The sequence below is a fragment of the Homo sapiens genome, chromosome 10 (genome assembly GCF_000001405.40).
Source record: "Homo sapiens chromosome 10, GRCh38.p14 Primary Assembly".
NCBI classification, from domain to species: Eukaryota; Metazoa; Chordata; class Mammalia; order Primates; family Hominidae; genus Homo; species Homo sapiens.
The window spans coordinates 14818981-14838061 of NC_000010.11; the positions used below are offsets into that span (position 1 = coordinate 14818981).

Sequence of the window (19081 nt, forward strand, 5' to 3'; positions counted from 1 at the left end):
TGTACATACAATAAAATGCCCAGATCTTAATTATCCTACCAGATGACAATGTTATTAACCCATGTAATCCCCATGTCAATCAAGATATAGGACATTCCCATCACTCCAGAAAGTTCCAAGGAAATGTTTTTTCAGTATTCCCCAGCTGTACCTGCCACACAGAGGCGGACACTTCTACTGTGGGTTTCTTATTCTTATGTGGCCAGAAAATGGAACCAAAGATGATTTTACAACCGAAAGCTGATAAAATAGCATTAACAATGGTAAAGTTCCAAGTTGCCTATGAGTGTTTTTAATATGCTTTAATCTTCCATCAAAAACTTGTCTGATATGTGACTGTAAGGAATGAAAAAGACCTTGAGCTTGGTTCAATTAACAATGTAAATGTTGATATAATTGCCAAACATTGGCTATACTTATACGGTTTCTTGATCTCTCTATTTTCTTTAAGTAGGTTTAAGTGGGTTTTCTTCCAATGGGAAAAACGAGTACTCCTGCCTGACCATTTCTGATACCAAAGAGAGCTACAATATAGAGTGAAAACAGAAAATTCACTTGAAAAAAACTTTTGATTCTGTATTTGGGATTGAAGTTGTGCATTAGATAAGCTGACTGTTGTGTCTTTTGTTTTAGTCCAATATATTTTAAAATTGCATCCAGAGAGGAGTCTCTGAATGCCTTCTTCTTTCTTGGAATCAATTTACTCCATCAATTTGTCAGTAGGTCACTTTTAGGAGACAGGCAATGAAAACTGGCATAGTCATTCCAAGAAACTTATGAGAAAGGAACTTTTAGCTTTTGGTACACTGCAAATGTAAGTTATCAGTAGTATTAGTTTCACTCATAAACCCACGTAACAAAATTCTGAGGAATAATACCAACACAAAAAGCATGAGACCAAATATGATGCATTCCCAGTTATCCTTAATCAACATGTCCATATCCTAGAGAGTCACTTTTCTCTCTAATTACAAGTCACAAATGTGCTGGCATTGGAGATCAGAGCTCTGTTTTGGGGTGTGTCGCTGCATACTTGGGGGCCAGCTCTTGAATGAGATTCACATAGTCAGTTTTTTCTGCACAGGCCCTGCACTCCTCCCCCCAGCTATGCAGGATCTGCTTCAGCTCTGCCACTCTCATCTTCCGCAGGTCAACTGATGCCAAGTCCAGTGTTTTTTCTAAATGGCAAAAAGGAAAAAAGCCAATTACAAAATAAATGGAAAAAAAATCCCTATGAATCACTTCAAAAGGCATATAGTTTGCTTATCTTGGTGCTGACTACCCTATGATCCAAGGCAGGGAAGAATTCCAGTTTCCATGGAAACCAAGACACACCCAAGGAAAATGTGGTACAGCAGCCCTCTCTATCAGTGGGTTCTGCATCTGCAGATTCAACCAACAGCAGATCAAAAATATTCTAAACAAATTAAAGATAACACTACAACAATTAAAAAATACAAACAGGGCTGGGCACGGTGGCTCATGCCTGTAATCTCAGCACTTTGGGAGGCTGAGGCGGGAGGATTGCCTGAGGTCAGGAATTCGAGACCAGCCTGGCCAACATGGTGAAACCACACCTCTACTAAAAAAAGAAACAAAAAATTAGCCGGGCATGGCGGTGGCATGCCTGTAATCCCAGCTACTTGGGAGGCTGCGGCGGGAGAATTTCTGGAACTTGGGAGATGGAGGTTGCAGTGAGCCGAGATCACGCCATGCACTCCAGCCTGGGAAACAGATTGAGACTCTGTCTCAAAAAAAAAATACAAACAATACAGTATAACAACTATTTACAATGATATGGTTTGGATTTGTGTCTCCACTCAAATCTCACGAGGAATTGTAATCCCCGCTGTTGGAGGAGGGGCCTGTTGGAAGGTGATTGGATCATGGGGGTGGACTTCACCCTAGCTTTTCTCATGATAGTGAGTGAGTTCATGAGGGATCTGGTTGTTTCAAAGTGTAGCACCTCCCCCTTTGCGCTCTTCCTCTTGCTGCAGTCACGTAAGACATGCCTCTTCCTCTTTGCCTTCTGCCATGATTCTAAGTTTCCTGAGGCCTCCCCAGCCATGCTTCCTGTACAGCCTGTGGAGCTGTGAGCCAATTAAACCTCTTTTCTTTATAAATTACCCAGTCTTAGATAGTTCTTTTTCTTTTTTTTTTTTGAGACGGAGTCTCGCTTAGCCACCCAGGCTGGAGTGCAGTGGCATGATCTCTGCTCACTGCAACCACCATCTCCCTGGTTCAAGCGATTCTCCTGTCTCAGCCTCCCAAGTAGCTGGGATTACAGGCACCCACCATCATGCCCGGCTAATTTTTGTATTTTAGTAGAGACAGGGTTTCGCCATGTTGGCAAAGCTGATCTTGAACTTCTCACCTCAGCTGATCCGCCTGCCACGGCCTCCCAAAGTGCTGGAATTACAGGCGTGAGCCACCGCGCCTGGCCAATAGTTCTTTACAGCAATGCGGGAACAGACTAATACAAATAGCATTTTCATTGTATTAAGTATTATAAGTAATCTAGAGATGATTTAGAGTATACAGGAGGGAAGATGCACATGGGTTATATGCAAACACTTAAGCATCAGGATTTTAGTGTCTGAGTATGGTCCCAGAACCCCTCCTGCACAGGTACTGAAGGACAACAGTGTATACAAAGTTATTGGGATAATTTGTGTTTTTAATTTGACTTTCTTTCCAAGAGATTATACTTGCTTCAAAACTAAGGGCCTATGTAGTGCCACAATGTTTACTACCATTTGGAGCATTCTCAAGATCAGTATTCCTAAAACAAATAGCACTGTATCCAAATTGCTGCTGTTAAGGTAACAAGAAGGAAACTCATATATAAAAGGCAATCGGTTCCTTTGGGATGGCCTTGGTTTGCGGCCAACTTGAAACCCATAGATTGTAATTAACCAGCAAAAAGTTATGGTTCACTTTTTCTAGGAAGATGTATCTTCGGCAAAGCAAATGAGCACATACACATGACAAAGCACTATTGGGTTTTAAATAAAAATGTAAAGAAATGCAAACACGTGAATAAAATTAGGAATATTCTCGCTGAACCTTAATTGTTTGGGATCTCTGTTTTGAAACTCACCTGATGCCCAGCCCCTACTGGGATTAGGTTGCTAAATTATCACAGCAGGTACAGCCCTTTGTGTTATTCCCACTTCTCCAATGCTAGGGCTTTGGTGCCAGCCAACCTGGCTTCTAAAATTCTTGCCAATGATACTTGTCACCAACATCTAACCTCCTCTAGCAAGACTACTATTTCGCTGTTTATAGATTATGTGCAGAAAATATCAAGAACTCAGCTACTTCTCAATTGCTGAAAAGATTGAAAAAAAGCCCAAAATACAAAAAATAATAAGCTCATCTGTAATATACCAATAATTATAATTTTCCTATCAGAAAGAGGTACTTTTCCTCTTTCAAAAGAAAGTCTAGAGGGGCATGGGGGCACACACCTGTAATCCCAGCATCTCAGGAGGCTGAGGCAGGAGAATCTCTTGAACCCAGGAGGCTGAGGTTGCAGTAAGCAGAGATCATGCCACTGCACTCCAGCATGGGCAACAGAGTGAGACTGTCAAAAAAAAAAAAAGTGTCTTTTGCCCCTCCCCGCTTGTCCGGTGTTCACTTTGATAATGAATACAACATTTAAGTTTATTTATTAAACAACTAGTGGCAGCCTAGAATTTTTACAGCTTGACTTCTCTTGAAAGTTCTTTCTCTTTTTTACCTCTGAGTAGTAGAACACAACATTTAAAAACATTAAAAACCTAATATTTGTCAAATTATTTGTCAAAACCTTCCGGTAACTCTGTTCTAATTTAAAAGCTGGATGTTAAAAGACTTTTGTATTTAGAGGGTCAGCTATACACTGTGCTCCAGAAAACCCTTAAATTTTTATAGTGATTCCCTATCCTTTTTAAACACAAAGCAAGCAAATGAAAACATTCTTTCAGGTCAAAAACCAAATGGCACCTTCCTAATTGAAAACATACTCCAACTCCACACTTATCTTGCTTGTTAATTTCATGGCTGATCTGACAGAATACTTTTTAAAGTAGAAACTTGCATAGCCCAAATTATTAATCTCCCACAGCACAAAGGTCCCTGTTTAATCTTATCTTTCCTGCTAACAATAGCTGGGGAGGATAATTAAGAACTATTAGTCTATTCAAGATAAGAGGCTGAAGGAGAAAAATACATTTTTTTGTAAATGTCAGTAGTTTCTTTGAGTTTTTCTAGAGAACTTGGTATCTGGCATTAATTTTAAAAAGAGGAAAACCTCTGTGATGCCCCAAAACTCCAAAGTAAAGGTCCACACAAAGATTAAAACTAGTTCATAGCTCCCCAAGGGCCTCTAGTGGCCAGCATCGCCAAAACATTAGGTAGTCATTTCGTCTCAATAATATCTGATTTTTCTATTGTTTAAGGAGCCCTGTAAGATCCCTAGGATATAGGAGAAGGTATTCACAACAAATTTGTTGAATTTAAAAAATCAAAAGAGGTTTGTGATATTGGCTTTTATTTATTTTTATTTTATCTATTTATTTTTCAGATGGGGTTTCACTCTGCCACTCAGGCTGGAGTACAGTGAAAAAAATCACAGCTCACCAGAGCCTTGACCTCCCAGGCTCAGGTGATCCTCCCACCTCAGTCTCCTGAGTAGTTAGGACTATAGGCGCTCAACACCACACCTGGCTAATTTTTGTATTTTTGTAGAGACAGGGTTTCACCATGTTGCCCAGGTTGGTCTTGAACTCCTGGGCTCAAATGATCCTCCTTTCTTGGCCTCCCAAAGTGCTGAGGTTACAAGTGTGAGCTGCCGCGCCCGGCCAAGTTTGTGAATATTGTTTATATGGACTCAGTGATTTCTGCCCCTATTTCATGGCTTGGAAGCCAATAAAAAAGGGATGCCTACTCTAATAACTACCCTGGAAGTTAGGGCTTGTGCTTTGCAAGTTAAGAAATAGGTTGTCTGTGGTAACTTTCAACCTTAAACCTACTTAAAGCTAGCTATGTGGCTATGGTGCATAGGACTATTACACGGCTGTGTTGGAAAATAAGACTAAAATAACTTAGAGGTGGATGCTAATTACTTAGGTAGTTGACAGTACTACACTGGGTATGTAATGCATGCAAAACAATGACTTAAGCAAAAGGAATGAGTGGGATTTCAGGTGTCAAGGATAGGCTGAGGAAGGAATTCCACATCCTTTTATGATACCCACTCAATCTACCCAAATGTCTAGCCCAGATACAAATCATGATAAAAGATCTATCCATGTGAAATGTATGGGGCCAAGGATAACATTTTAAAATAGGACATCTCCTGGCCGGGCATGGTGGCTTACGCCTGTCATCCTAGCACTTTGAGAGGACAAGGCAGGTGGATCACCTGAGGTCAGGAGTTCAAGACCAGCCTGGCCAACATGGTGAAACCTCGTCTCTAATAAAAATACAAAAATTAGCCAGGCGTGGTGGTGCATGCCTGTAATCCCAGCTACTCGGGAGGCTCCGGCAGGAGAATCGCTTGAACCCACGAGGCAGAGATTGCAGTGAGCCAAGATCGCACCACTGCACTCCAGCCTGGGTGATAGAGCGAGACTTCCCCTCAAAAAAAAAAAAAAAAAAAAAAGGACATCTCCTTCCTTTTCTTGCTGTTTGTTTTGGGCACCCTCTGATAAGCTATTTTACCAGGAAAAACCTGACTTGATGTGAATAACCAATTTCCCAAAATTTAAAGCTGGCAGAATGGTAGCTCTGCCTAGGAAGGAAGTCATAGTCATCTTTACATCTTCAAAGTCCTTGTATCATCTTTGAATAGGTACTAGTTTTGTTTTAATAGATTACCAAGATCCAAATCACCAGGAGTAGCTGCTCTCTCTATATGTTGAGATTTTCCTTGACATACGTATCTGGCTTTGCCTTGGTGTGTTAGGAGTCTAAACTCTGTGATTTCAGTGGCAATTTTTTTTTTTTAAGACAGAGTCTTGCTCTATCACCCAGGCTGGAGTGCAGTGGCGGGATCTGGGCTCATTGCAACCTCTGCCTCCCGGGTTCAAGCGATTCTCCTGCCTCAGCCTCCCGAGTAGGTGGGACTATAGCTGCCCGCCACCACACCCGGCTAATTTTTTTGTATTTTTTTAGTAGAGACAGGGTTTACCATATTGGCCAGGCTGGTACTTGAACTCCTGACCTTGCGATCCGCCCGTCTCGGCCTCCCAAAGTGCTGGGATGAAAGGCCTGAGCCACCGCGCCAGGCCTCATTGGCAATTTTAACCTAATGCTGATTATGCCTGTACTATTTATTTGTCTTCCCTCAACGAAACTCAAATGCCCATAGGTACCATTCATCAGCCAAGCAACTTATTGATGAGTGGTGAATTTCTTTCCTTTTAACACTGAATTTTTAGAAGACATGGCCCCAACTTTAGAGGTTTGGGAATCCATTGGACCTACTGGGAAAAACACGGGGCTGTGTTATACCATATTTCAGCTCACAGATCTGGCTATCCAACTTCTTCAGCTTCTCACAAATCTTCATTGCAGGCATATGCACACTCATTGGGCGAGTGACTTCACTTAGGATCTTTGTGGCTGCGTCTTTTGTGGCTCCTAGATAATAGCACTGAAGGAAAATGAAGAGAATTGAGTGTTCCAGACAATGAAGACATTCAGTATCATTCCAGTAATGAAGGAATACAGTATCAAGAAGAAAGAGGTAGGCTGGACATGGTGGCTCACGCCTGTAATCCCAGCACTTTGGGAGGTTGAGGAGGGCAGATCATTTGAGGTCAGGAGTTCTAGACCAGCCTGGTCAACATGGTGAAACCCCATCTCTACTAAAACTACAAAAATTAGCCAGGTGTGCTTGCTTGAACCAAGGAGGTGGAGGTTGCAGTGAGCCAAGATCATGCCAGGGCACTCCAGCCTGGGTGACAGAGTGAGACTCCATCTCAAAAAAAAAGAAGAAGAAGAAAAGAAGAAGAAGGAGAAGAAGAAGCAGCAGAAGAAGCAGAAGCAGAAGAAGAAGAAGGAGAAGAAGAAGAAGAAGAAGAAGAAGAAGAAGAAGAAGAAGAAGAAGAAGAAGAAGAAGAAGAAGAAGCAGCAGCAGCAGCAGCAGCAGCAGCAGAAGCAGGAGAAGGAGAAGGAGAAGGAGAAGAAGAAGAAGAAGCAGAAGCAGCAGCAGAAGCAGAAGCAGCAGAAGAAGAAGAAGAAGAAGAAGAAGCAGAAGCAGAAGCAGCAGCAGAAGAAGCATAAGAAGCAGTAGAAGAAGCAGCAGAAGAAGCAGTAGAAGCAGCAGAAGCAGCAGCAGAAGAAGCAGCAGAAGTGGAGGAATCAGAAGCAGCAGAAGCAGAAGCAGCAGAAGCAGAAGAAGAGCAGCAGCAGAAGAAGAAGCAGAAGAAGCAGCAGCAGCAGCAGAAGCAGCAGAAGCAGCAGAAGAAAGAAGCAGAAGAAGCAGAAGAAGAAAGAAGCAGAAGAAGAAGAAAAAGAAGAAGAAGAAGAAGAAAAAGAAGCAGCAGAAGCAGCAGAAGCAGAAGAAGAAGAAAGAAGAAGAGAGGTTAACCTGCTGACTAAGCCACCAGGAAACAAGTGACTCCATTCTCGTGATCATCCTAATTAGATGTGCCCTACAATTCACATGGTGTTAAAAGACTAATGAGAAGAGCTGACACTAAGTGTTTTCTCTGTGCCAGGTGCTGCTCTCAGTGCTTTAAAGGTATTAACTTATTTATGTCTCACAACAATCCTGTGAAATAAGTACTATTAGTATCTGTATTTTATACCCAAGCCAACTGAAGGTCCCCAGATCTAGCAATAGAAGAGACAGAATTATAAAACCCAGCACTTTGGCTCTAGAGCCCATGTCTTTTCCCATCAGGCAATTCTGACATTCAAGCTCCCTGACTTCAAAATTTTACATTTAAAAATATAAACGTTGGCTGGGCACAGTGGCTCACACCTGTAATCCCAGCACTTTGGGAGGCCAAGGCGGGTGAATCACTTGAGCTCAGGAGTTCGAGATCAGCCTGGGCTACAAGGCCAAACCCCGTCTCTACAAAAAAAAAAAAAAAAAAAAAAAAATCCAAAAATTATCTGGGCATGGTGGCATGTGCCTTAGTCCCAGATACTTGGGAAGCTGAGGTGGAAGGATCACTTGAACCTGGGAGGTTGAGGTTCCAGTGAGGAAAGATCACTGGGACGCCAGCCTGGGTGACAGAGGGAGACCCTGTCTCAAAAAAATATAGATAGATAGACCTTAATGATACGGATAAATGGCATGAGCTTTACAACATGGCCATGGTGAACAGCCAACATGCAGATGTAACTGACAATCTGACAATTTTAGGGAAAAAGGAATTGGCCCCAAATTGTCTTAAGTGATATAAAACAGTATATTGAAACAAGCCATATGTGTATGCCCAGGAAACACCATATTAATGTGATTAGAAGAAAATATAAATACTTTATTAATTATGTATAAATAATAATGTAAAATATTTTGATAAGTTTGATTAATTGTCTTGGTAAGAAATGGAAAGCCCACCCACTCTTAGGATGCTAAATTCTTATTGGGAATTCAGTTTCATAATTTCATTTAAGAAAACGTAGAATTGGGCTGGGCATGGTAGCTCATTCTTGTAATCCCAGCACTTTGGGAGGCTGAGGTGGGTGGATCACCTGAGGTCAGGAGTTCAAGACCACCCTGGCCAACATGGTGAATCCCTGTCTCTACTAAAAATACATAATTAGCAGGGTGTGGTGGTGCACACCCGTAATCCTAGCTACTCGGGAGGCTAAGGCACAAGAATGCTTTGAACCCAGGAGGCAGAGGTTGCAGTGAGCTGAGATGATGATACTGCACTCTAGCCTGGGCAACAGAGCAAGACTCTGTCTCAGAAAAAGAAAAAAGAAAACATAGAATTGGTTATCTGTGGTGTACTCAGAAAGTAAAGTAACACTGGAAATATTCTGGATGAAAACACGCAGAACTACATGTCACTGGAAGATGGATTTCTGCTTGCTGCGTGCTCTAAAATGGACATACTTGAGGCAAACATGTAAGTAGGAGGACTTCACGTCTAAGAAATGAAACTATTAGCAGTATTCTTCAAGCACATGGGGAAAATGAAAGGTGAAATTTACTATACCAGGCGGTTTTCTTTTCCTTTGGTGTCCAAGCAAAAACTGATCAATTCTTTCTCTATAGTGTCCAGCGAAAAGTTAACTCCTCTGTCTATCAGTGACTTGTAGAATCGGTTCAAGAATTCTTTACATACTGGAAGGAACAAATAAATATGTCTGCATGCACAACTTAACCACTACCACACCTATGCATATGACCCACTAACCACATTTAAAAGTCTATATGGGGCTGGGCATGGTGGCTTACCCCTGTAATCCTAGCACTTTGAGAGGCTGAGGTGGGCAGATCACAAGGTCAGGATATCGAGACCATCCCGGCCAACATGGTGAAATCCTCTCTCTACTAAAATACAAAAAATTAGCCAGGCATGGTGGCGCGTGCCTATAGTCCCAGCTACTCAGGAGGCTGAGGCAGGAGAATCACTTGAACCCAGCAGGTGGAGATTGCAGTGAGCCGAGATCTTACCACTGCACTCCAGCCTGGCGACAGAGCAAGACTCCATCTCACACACAAAAAAAGAAACGTCCATATGAGTCAATGCTTCATGACAGTGGATTCCAATGCTAAGTAAGAATGATTTGGGGGCCAGGCATGGTGGCTCACACCTGTAATCCCAGCACTTTGGGAGGCAGAAGCAGAAAGATCACTTGAGCCCAGGAGTTTGGAGCCAGTCTGGACCACATAGTGAGACCTTGTCTCTACTAAAAAAAAAACACAAAAAAACAAAAACAAAAAAACACCAGGCATGATGGTGAATGCCTGTCGTGTCAGCTACTCGAGAGGCTGAGGTGGGAGGGTCACTTAAGCCCGGCAGATGGAGGCTGCAGTGAGCTATGATCAAGCCACTGCACTGCAGCCTGGGTGACAGAGTGAGACCCTGTCTCAAGAAAATTAAAAATATAAATAAAAAGAATGATTTCAGGCCTGTTGCTATTAGTTTAGTATTGGGCCTAAATGCAGTGGACACATTGTAACAGCATATTGAATCAATCAATCATTGGAACGAAGTTCTACCTAAAATGATAACTTTTCCACAAAATTTGGCTAACCCTAAAATAAAATAGGCTATCATCTTGGGACAGCATAATTGTAAGCACAGAGAAAAACCTGAATAAGAATCCTGAATGAAGCCCCTTGGTGATCTGCATAAGTCTTTATTTCCATCGTTATGAGCCTAAAGTGAAATCAGGCTGGGCATAGTGGATCACACCTGTAATCCCAACACTTTGCAAGGCCAAGGCGAGAGGATCTCTTGAGGCCAGGAGTTTGAGACCTGCCTGGGCAACACAGTAAGACTCTGTCTCTGCACACACCTGTGGTCCCAGCTACTGAGGAGGCTAAAATGGGAGGCTTGTTAGGTCATTTCTTCTAGTTCCTTATATCTTGAAGATACTTTCAAGCTTGTTTTTTATATCTTTAAACACACTAAACTTAATTATGATCTGTGTGTGAAAATTTCAATATCTGAAGTCTTCAGAGTTTTTTTTGTTTGTTTGTTTGTTTTTTAAGACGAAGTCTCGCTCTGTTCACCCAGGCTTAAGTGCAATGGCGCAATCTCAACTCTCTGCAACCTCTGCCTCCCTGGCTCAAGTGATTCTCCTGCCTCAGCCCCCCAAGTAGCTGCGATTACAGGCGCTCGCCACCACACCCTGCTAATTTTTATATTTTCAGTAGATACGAGGTTTCACCATGTTGGCCAGGCTGGTCTCAAACTCCTGACCTCAAGTGATCTGCCCATCTCGGCCTCCCAAAGCGCTGGGATTACAGCCACTGCATCAGGCCCAGAGTACGTTTCTATTTGTTGTTGTTTCTATAGGTTCTTGTTCCTGGTGCCTCGTTTCTTTGTGTGCTTGCTTATTTTGCGCCACACGATACTCATACGTCTCAAAACTTATTTGTGAAGATTGTTTGAAGCCTGAGATGAAGGAGCATTATTTCCAGTAAGGATTTGTATTTGTATTTCTCAGGGACTAAGGGCAACTAGCCAGGCACTGCTTTAAACTAAATATATAGCTTGAAGTTTTTGGGCCCCGATGTGAATTTTGGCTGCAAATACAAGTGAGGGACGTTTTGTTGTTATCATTTCTCAGAGATATATATTTTTTCTTTTTTCTACTTTGCTCAGTGTCAAGGTAAATTTCCTTATAGTCCCCTATGGGTAGGGATGGGTTCGGTTTATGTTCTATGTTTCTTTAAACATAAAAAAACATAACTTCTATGCCTGATTATTCCAATACCTGAAGCCACTGCAGGGGTGTGCCTCTTCTGTTTTTTGTTCCAGCTGGCTCTCACTTATGTGCCCTTCTTCCCTAGGGGTTCATGACTTTTCTAAGTGGCAGCTCTATTTCTTAGAACTTTAACTGTATGAATTCTTTGAGGACTAGGTTGAATGTGGGTTCCTGTAAGTAAGACTCACATTTGCTGGCTGGGCACGGTGGCTTATGCCTGTAATCCCAGCACTTTGGGAGGCCAAGGTGAGTGGATCACCTGAGGTCAGGAGTTCGAGACCAGCCTGGCCAATATGATGAAACCCCGTCTCTACTAAAAATACAAAAATTAGCCAGGAGTGGTGGCAGGTGCCTGTAATCCCAGCTACTTGGGAGGCTGAGGCAGGAGAAATGCTTGAACCCGGGAGGCGGAGGTTGCAGTGAGCCGAGATCACACCATTATACTCCAGTCTGGGCGACAAGAGTGAAACTCCGTCTCAAAAAACAAAACAAGACAAAAACAAAAACAAGACTCACATTTGCTGATTCCTGAGGGTATGATCTACTTAAAATCACTTTCAACTAAATTATCAGTTCGAGATGTTTCAGATCATCCTAGTAGTGTGAATGGGGCCTTTGACCCCTACCTATGTGCACGAGCTTGTAATTATGAGTTATCAAGAAAGTTTTGTTTTTCCTTTTATCAGTAAAAATGTTCAAGTGAAACCATTTCTTTTAGTCTCTAAAGATGGAAATAGGTTGTAGTTACTTTCAGTTCACCCTTTATAATGAAGGGCTAGGTCTTTGGGGCCCTGAATTAGTTGGTAGAGGATCTGCTCTCACTCTCCTAACTTGGAAATGCCTGGGACTTGTGTTTATTTAGCCAAAACCATGAAAACTTCAGTTCAGATCACCTGGCTAACAAATGCTCCCAGGTAAAGCCAGCTTCAGTGCTCCCTTCAACCCCCTGGACTCCCACTTCCACTCTGTGGTTGGCTTCTGGGTATGCCTTCCCAACTCATACTTTACAATATTTTCACATTTTTATTTTATCCAGTATTTTCAGTTGCTTTTAGATGACTGGCCAATCATGTCATCTTTTAGAGCTTAAAGTCATATATATATATATATATACACACACATATATATACTGTATATACATATATATAAAATACATATATACACATATATAATACATATATACACACACACACACACACATATATATATATATATTTTTTTTCAAGATGGAGTCTCGCTCTGTTGCCTAGGCTAGAGTGCAGTGGTGTGATCTCGGCTCAATGCAACCTCCACCTTCTGAGGTTCAAGCAATTCTCCTGCCTCAGACTCCTGAGTAGCTGGGACTAATGGCGTGTGCCACCACACCCAGCTAAGTTTTTGTATTTTTAGTAGAGACAGGGTTTCACCATGTTGGCCAGGACGGTCTCGATCTCCTCACCTGGTGATCTGCCCACCTCGGCTTCCCAAAGTGCTGGGATTACAGGTGTGAGCCACCGTGCCTAGCCCATATATTTTTATTTCTAATGCTATCAACATGAACAGAATACTAAACATAATAGCCAGTTATTCATGTTTTTAACAAATATTTACTAAGCGACTAGTAAGTGCAAAACAGTATTCTAGGTTCCTAAGATTCAGTAATGAAGAAAACAAAGAACTTGCCCTTGAGAGTTACATCCGATAGAAGTAAAGGTATACGTAGCAAAGAAGAAAAATAAACATGGTAAGGAGGATGGAGGGTGACAAGGTAATAGTACGATTCTTAATGGATTGGTTAGGAAAGATCTCTTAGATAAAGTGATATTCAAGCAGACACCTGAAGGAAGTGGAAGAACAATTTAAGTGGATGACTTGAGGAAGAACTCCGCAGGCAGAAGGAACAGCAAGTACCAAGGCTCAAATGCAGGAGTGTCCTTGGTGGCTTCAAGGAACAGCCAGAAGGCCAGTGTGGCTAAAGTAGAGGGAGCAAGAGGGAGGTGTGTAGCAAATGAGATCAAATAGGCAGCAGCATGCTGGGGCATCCAGGGCCTTTCAAGCTTGGTAAGGTCTCTGGATGTCACTCTGAGAAGGGAAGCCATTTAAGGTTTTGAGTAGAGAAGAGTTATGGTCCGACATGATTCATAAAGGATGTCTCTGAAGGCTGTCTGAAGAATGGATTACAAGGAAGCAGAAAAGAAAGCAGGGAGACCAGCTGACCAGTTTAGAGGTTCTCAAAATAGTTGCATCTCTTAGACCAGGGCAGTAGCTACAGCAGTCATGAGAAGTGGTTACACTCTGGACCTATCTTGAAGGAAGAGCCAAAAGAATTTACTAATAAGCCAGATGTAATGTGTCAGAGTTGGGGAGAGAGAGAGGAATCAAAGATAATCCCAATAATTTTGGCCAAGAAACTGGAACCGTGGAGTTGCCATCTGCTGAAATGAGGAAGACTGCAGGAGAAGCAGTTTATGGTGACAAGCAGGAATCTAATCTTTCTTTTTTTGCTTTTTTTTTTTTTTTTTTTTTTTTTGAGACAGAATCTCGCTGTGTTGCCCAGGCTGGAGTGCAGCGGTGCCATTTCGGCTCACTGCAACCTCCAACTCCTGGATTGAAGTGATTCTTGTGCCTCAGCCTCCTGAGTAGCTGGGATTACAGGCGCATGTCACCACACCTAGCTAATTTTTGTATTTTTAGTAGAGATGGGGTTTCGTTATGTTTGCCAGGCTGGTCTCTAACTCCTGACCTTAGGTGATCTGCCTGCCTCAGCCTCCCAAAGTGCTGGATTACAGGCATGAGCCACCATGCCTGGCCAGAATCCAGTCTTGACATATGAAGTTCAAGATGCTTCTAGACGTCTGTGATGGTTAATTTTATGTAGCAATGATGAAATTAACACTTAAATTGATGAACTCTGGGTAAGGCAGATTGGCCTCCATAATGTGGGTGGGCCTTACCTAACTACTTGAGGGCCTGCACAGAACAAAATAGACCAGCCTTCCTGACGAAGAGGGAATTCTCCAGCAGACTCCCTTTAGACTTCCTTCGTACCACAGGCTCTCCTGGGTCTCCAGCCTGCTTGCCCACACTGCAGATTTTGGACTTCTCAGCCTTCACAATCTTGTGAGCCAATTCCTTATAATAAATCTCTTTTTACATAGATAAATATTACAGATATTAAGAAGATATATAGATATAGATTATATGTTCTGTTTGGTCCTATTGGTTTTATTTCTCTGGAGAACCTTGACTAATATAACATCCAACTGGAAACAGTGAGAAGGCAGCTAGATATAGAAATGTGAAGATCAGGTATAAGATCTAGGATGACTATATAAATCTGGAAGCCATCAACATTCAAATGGTGTTTTTGAGATGAGAACACAAAGTAAGGAGAGACGGAAAAGAGACACAGTCCTGGGTCTCAGCCTTGTGAAATCCCAATGTTTAGCAATTGGGAAGATGGAAAACAACCAGAAAAAGACGGAAAGGAGCAGCCAGTGAAGTAGGATAAGAACAAAGACTGAGTGTTATTCCAAAAGGCAAGTGAACACAGTGTTAAAAGGAATGTGTAATGATCTGCTATATTACACGTGGAAAATGAGATCCCTCTCAACATGTATTTTGCTGAGTTTAATTAGCAAATATATCCAGTATGCAAAGCAGAAACCTGCTGTAATGATTAATGCTACAAGTCAGCAGAAACTATCATCAGGCCAGGCACGGGAGTTCACACTTGTAATCCCAGCACTTTAGGAGGCCAAGGCTGGCGGATCGCTTGAGCTCAGGGGTTCAAGACCAGCCTCGGCAACATAGTGAAACTTCATCTCTATTAAAAATACAAAAAATTTGCTGGGTGTAATGACAAGCACCTGTAGTCCAGCTACTCAGGAGGCTGAGGAGGGAGGATCACTTGAGCCTGGAAGACGGAAGTTGCAGTGAGCTGAGACTGTTCCACTGTACTCCAACCTGGGTGACAGAGTGAGGCTCTGTCTCAAAAAAAAAAAGAAAAAAGAAAAAGAAACTATCATCAAAGTCTCCTAGGAGCCTCTAATTCTTGTCTCCTACAAAAGAAACCCCCAGTATTCCAGTGCCTCATCACTCTTGTGGTATTTCCCACAGTATACCTTCATATGATTTCTATACCTCAACTATCACTCTGCCAATGTATCATCTAGGTGATGAAAGTTAGGAATACTAACTTGTCCTTTTCAAGATCTACATTTGACTCACTAAAATATACCCAAAATTTTATCACAGCATATATGCATACATTTCTTCAACAAACTGAGCGCCTACCATATGCCATGCACTATGGTAGCTGCTGGACATGAGGTGGTGAGAAACACTGCCTTGACTTTCAGAGGAGACCAAAACAATATGAGAAGTGTATCAGATACTGTGGGAAAACAAAGGAGCGGCACCTGGAGGAAACTGGGAAACTGCTGAAAGATACTAAATAAGGAAGTAATATGATAGCCCTGCCAGGGGACTAGACAGGAGGGAGACAGGTAGCAGGAAGAATGCTATTTTGACAATGCGGAGGGGAAAACTGCTGAAGTTCTGTAAGGAAGTCCTAGACTTGAGTAAGGAGAAAGGAGCAGGACCAGTCAGGAGGTAGACTCAACGATGTAGTGATTGGTTGGGGGATAAGGGGGAAAGAGAAGTCTAGAATCTAGGCTAGGTGACCAGGTAGTTGTCCCATGCTGTCACCGTAAGCATGACAGTAACAGGTTTAGGGGAGTGAGAAGGGAAGGAGATGATGACTTTGGTTTTTTGACTGTGTTGATGTTGATGTACATCATATCTAAGAGGGCATGTTCACTAGTCAATTGGATGCAAGGTCTGAGACTCTAGAAAGGTCAGTGGATATAAGGTTAGAGATTTATTAGACTGGAGGTAGGTTGGTTTGGGTTGCCAAGAAGAGTGTGTAGACTGAGAAGAGAGAAGAGAAGAGAGCAGAACCCTGGAAAATTCTAAGCCATGGCTAGAGGATCAGAAGCCCACAAAGACACACTGGACAAGTGGGCATAGAGACAGGAAGGAGAAAAGCAGTATCATGACCATGAAGAGAAGGCAGTCTCTGAAAGGGAAAGATGTCAATGGTGTCACACACCACAAAGAAGTCAAGGTAAGAAAGGAAACTCATTTTCTGGACTTACATGAAGAGAATAACCTCACCATAAATGCCCTAACAAATTAGTAGCTTCTTAAGTTTTCTGGGATGTCTTTATTGCTAAAATAACCTCAGATAGCCATACTTCTTTTATTTATATTGTGCTTTTATGTTTATTAAAGATAGTTTTATAAGTGAATCTATAATTATTTTAAAATAAAAAGTTATTTAAAATAGTCCCATAATATAATCCTTTAAAAGAGATTTGGAAATATTTATGTTTTTCCAGTAAACCTCACATTACCTAATAATAGGACTCACAGACTTGAATATCTACAGGGGCCAGGCAAGGAAAAAGAAGAGTTAAGCAATTTGAATCGGGGGCAGAGTAGGGGCGGCAAACTACTCAAAACCCAAGTCCTTTCTAAAAAGAGCAGCCAATAGCCAATTCTACTATACAGCCATAAGGCCAATCTTGCCAGGTCATCTGGTTTTTTGAGAAAAGCCAGAAATATGAATTTTTACATAAAATTTCCCAATTTTAAAATGTACCCAGTGAATTTAATTTTTTTCAAAATATTTTGTAAATGTAACGAAACATATCAATAGGTCCGAGACGGCTCAGGAACCATTCAGTTTTTTTGCCTTCGCTCTAGAGTATGTATAATATGGCATTTTAATCTTATACATTGAGAAGAAATTAAGTTGTAAATAAGAAAGGAGGCTGAGGAGGGAGGATCACTCATAAGCAGTAATAGAGCTGGATGCAGAATCTGGTTCTTTTAGTTACCAAACTGTTATGTCCTTCCTCTGCGATTACACAAGCTTCTTTACCTAACAAATGAAATATATAGACAGGTTAGTCAGACATGCAATAATCACAGCATGCTGTAATAAATTTAGGACAGACAGCATAAGCTTCCCATTTAATTAATCCAGATGCTGTCTCTCTTGAAACATTTATAAGTGGGAGCCCCAGATGAGTCATCAAATCAATTGTCTTTGCCTCACAAAGTCTGTTTTAAAAGTATAGGACACAATTATAGCATGGTTTGGAGCAAAATTATAACTTAGCTAAACAAATATCTTTATATCGAGTAATAACATGTAGATATTTTAAATTTCTGGAGAAAAGTTTAATTATTGCAGAGCTCATAGAAAGCCAGGCTCCAATTATTAACACTTTAAGGACTGGGCGCTGTGGCTCACGCCTGTAATCCCAGCACTTTGGGAGGCTGAGGCGGGCCGATCACCTGAGGCCAGGAGTTCAAGACCAGTCTGGCCAACATGGTGAAACTGCATCTCTATTAAAAATATAAAAATTAGTCAGGCGTGGTGGTGGTGCCTTTAGTACCAGCTACTTGGGAGGCTGAGGCAGGAGAATCGCTGGAACCCGATGATGGAGGCTGCAGTGAGCCAAGATTGTGCCACTGTACTCCGGCCTGGGCAACACAGTGAGACTGTCTCAAAACAAAAACAAAAACAAAAAACAAAACAACAAAACAAACAAAAACACAACTTTAGTACGACTATACCCATCCATTCACTCAACATATATGATGAACCTACAATTTCCTGTTCACTAGGGATATATTTTCCAGCTGAGGGCATATACATTTAAACTAATTATTTTCAGTAAAACATGGAGTGAGCGCTACAGGAGTCCAGAAGGAAGGGGCTAGCATAGCCACTTACCTTCTTTGCCTTTGCTAACAGATCTCTAAAGTGAAGTACGCTGATTTTGCAAAAACCAAAGTCTCAGAGCTAGGGGACTTGGTGGGATACAGACTCACGTATTCTGACTGCGAGTTCACAGCTGAGATACCGTGAACAAAAAGGAACCACTCTTTTGTATTCCTCTCTTTCCCAAGGAGTCAGTGTACTCCTTTGCAAAGCAATTTTCACCTACAGAGTCCTAACAAATATTAGCTATGTCCTCTGATTTAAGCTACTCAACTCAATGCCATGTTTTGTTTTCCTTTGGGGAGTCACCAACTAGCTTGGACTTGAAAGACGTCTTCTGTGCAAGGGGAGGCAAATCTTGCTGGTTGGAAGCAGCAGAATCAATCTGGCGCCAGTATCATCTGAATCTAGCATTCTTTGCACAAACTCTAATCCAAATACAAACCCACCAGCTTTTACTGCTGAAGTTTAATATTCACAGCAAAACCACAACGTGGCCTCACGTTACCACCAGGCCCGGCTTGAGCTTTTTACTCGAGCTGGGCTTGGGCGATCTAAAACGAGGGACAGGGCCTGCATTTCCTGGGCGGAATGTTATTTATAGCCAGGGCCAGGAGAAGCCAAAGCCGACAGCTGCTGCGCCGCAGCGCGGGGCCGCCGCCATGCAAGCAGTTGTCACACCGCTCACCTTCACAGTCGGCCCCTGGCCGCCCCCCGGCCTCCTGGCCCTGCGTCAGCACCGGGTGAGAGACCAAAAGCCCGGCGCAAAAGGCCACCACAGCAACTGGGCTCGCGCACCACATGCTGGGCCAGCAGCTTCAATCGCCTCCGCCACCCGCGCCCACCGCCCACCAAGCTGCCAAAGCGAGCTGAGCAGAATTCGAGGTTGGAAAGAATCTGCCAGTAGTTGCCAGGACA

The 19081-nt window shown here is 42.3% G+C and overlaps 1 protein-coding gene across 2 annotated transcripts; it reads right to left on the bottom strand.

The window, feature by feature from the left end:
* Positions 1–264: 264 nt before the first annotated feature.
* Positions 265–19057, bottom strand: CDNF (cerebral dopamine neurotrophic factor). 2 transcript variants are annotated; one of them, NM_001029954.3, is made up of 4 exons: positions 18852–19057; positions 9165–9292; positions 6499–6640; positions 265–1178 (listed from the first exon to the last, which is right to left on the bottom strand). In NM_001029954.3, exons 1-4 carry the CDS (start codon positions 18964–18966, stop codon positions 1000–1002), a joined length of 564 nt encoding a protein of 187 aa, NP_001025125.2. In that variant the 5' UTR covers positions 18967–19057; the 3' UTR covers positions 265–999. The 2 variants fall into 2 exon arrangements, with proteins under 2 accessions (NP_001025125.2, XP_011517790.1); XM_011519488.3 differs by having other exon boundaries at positions 6472–6640.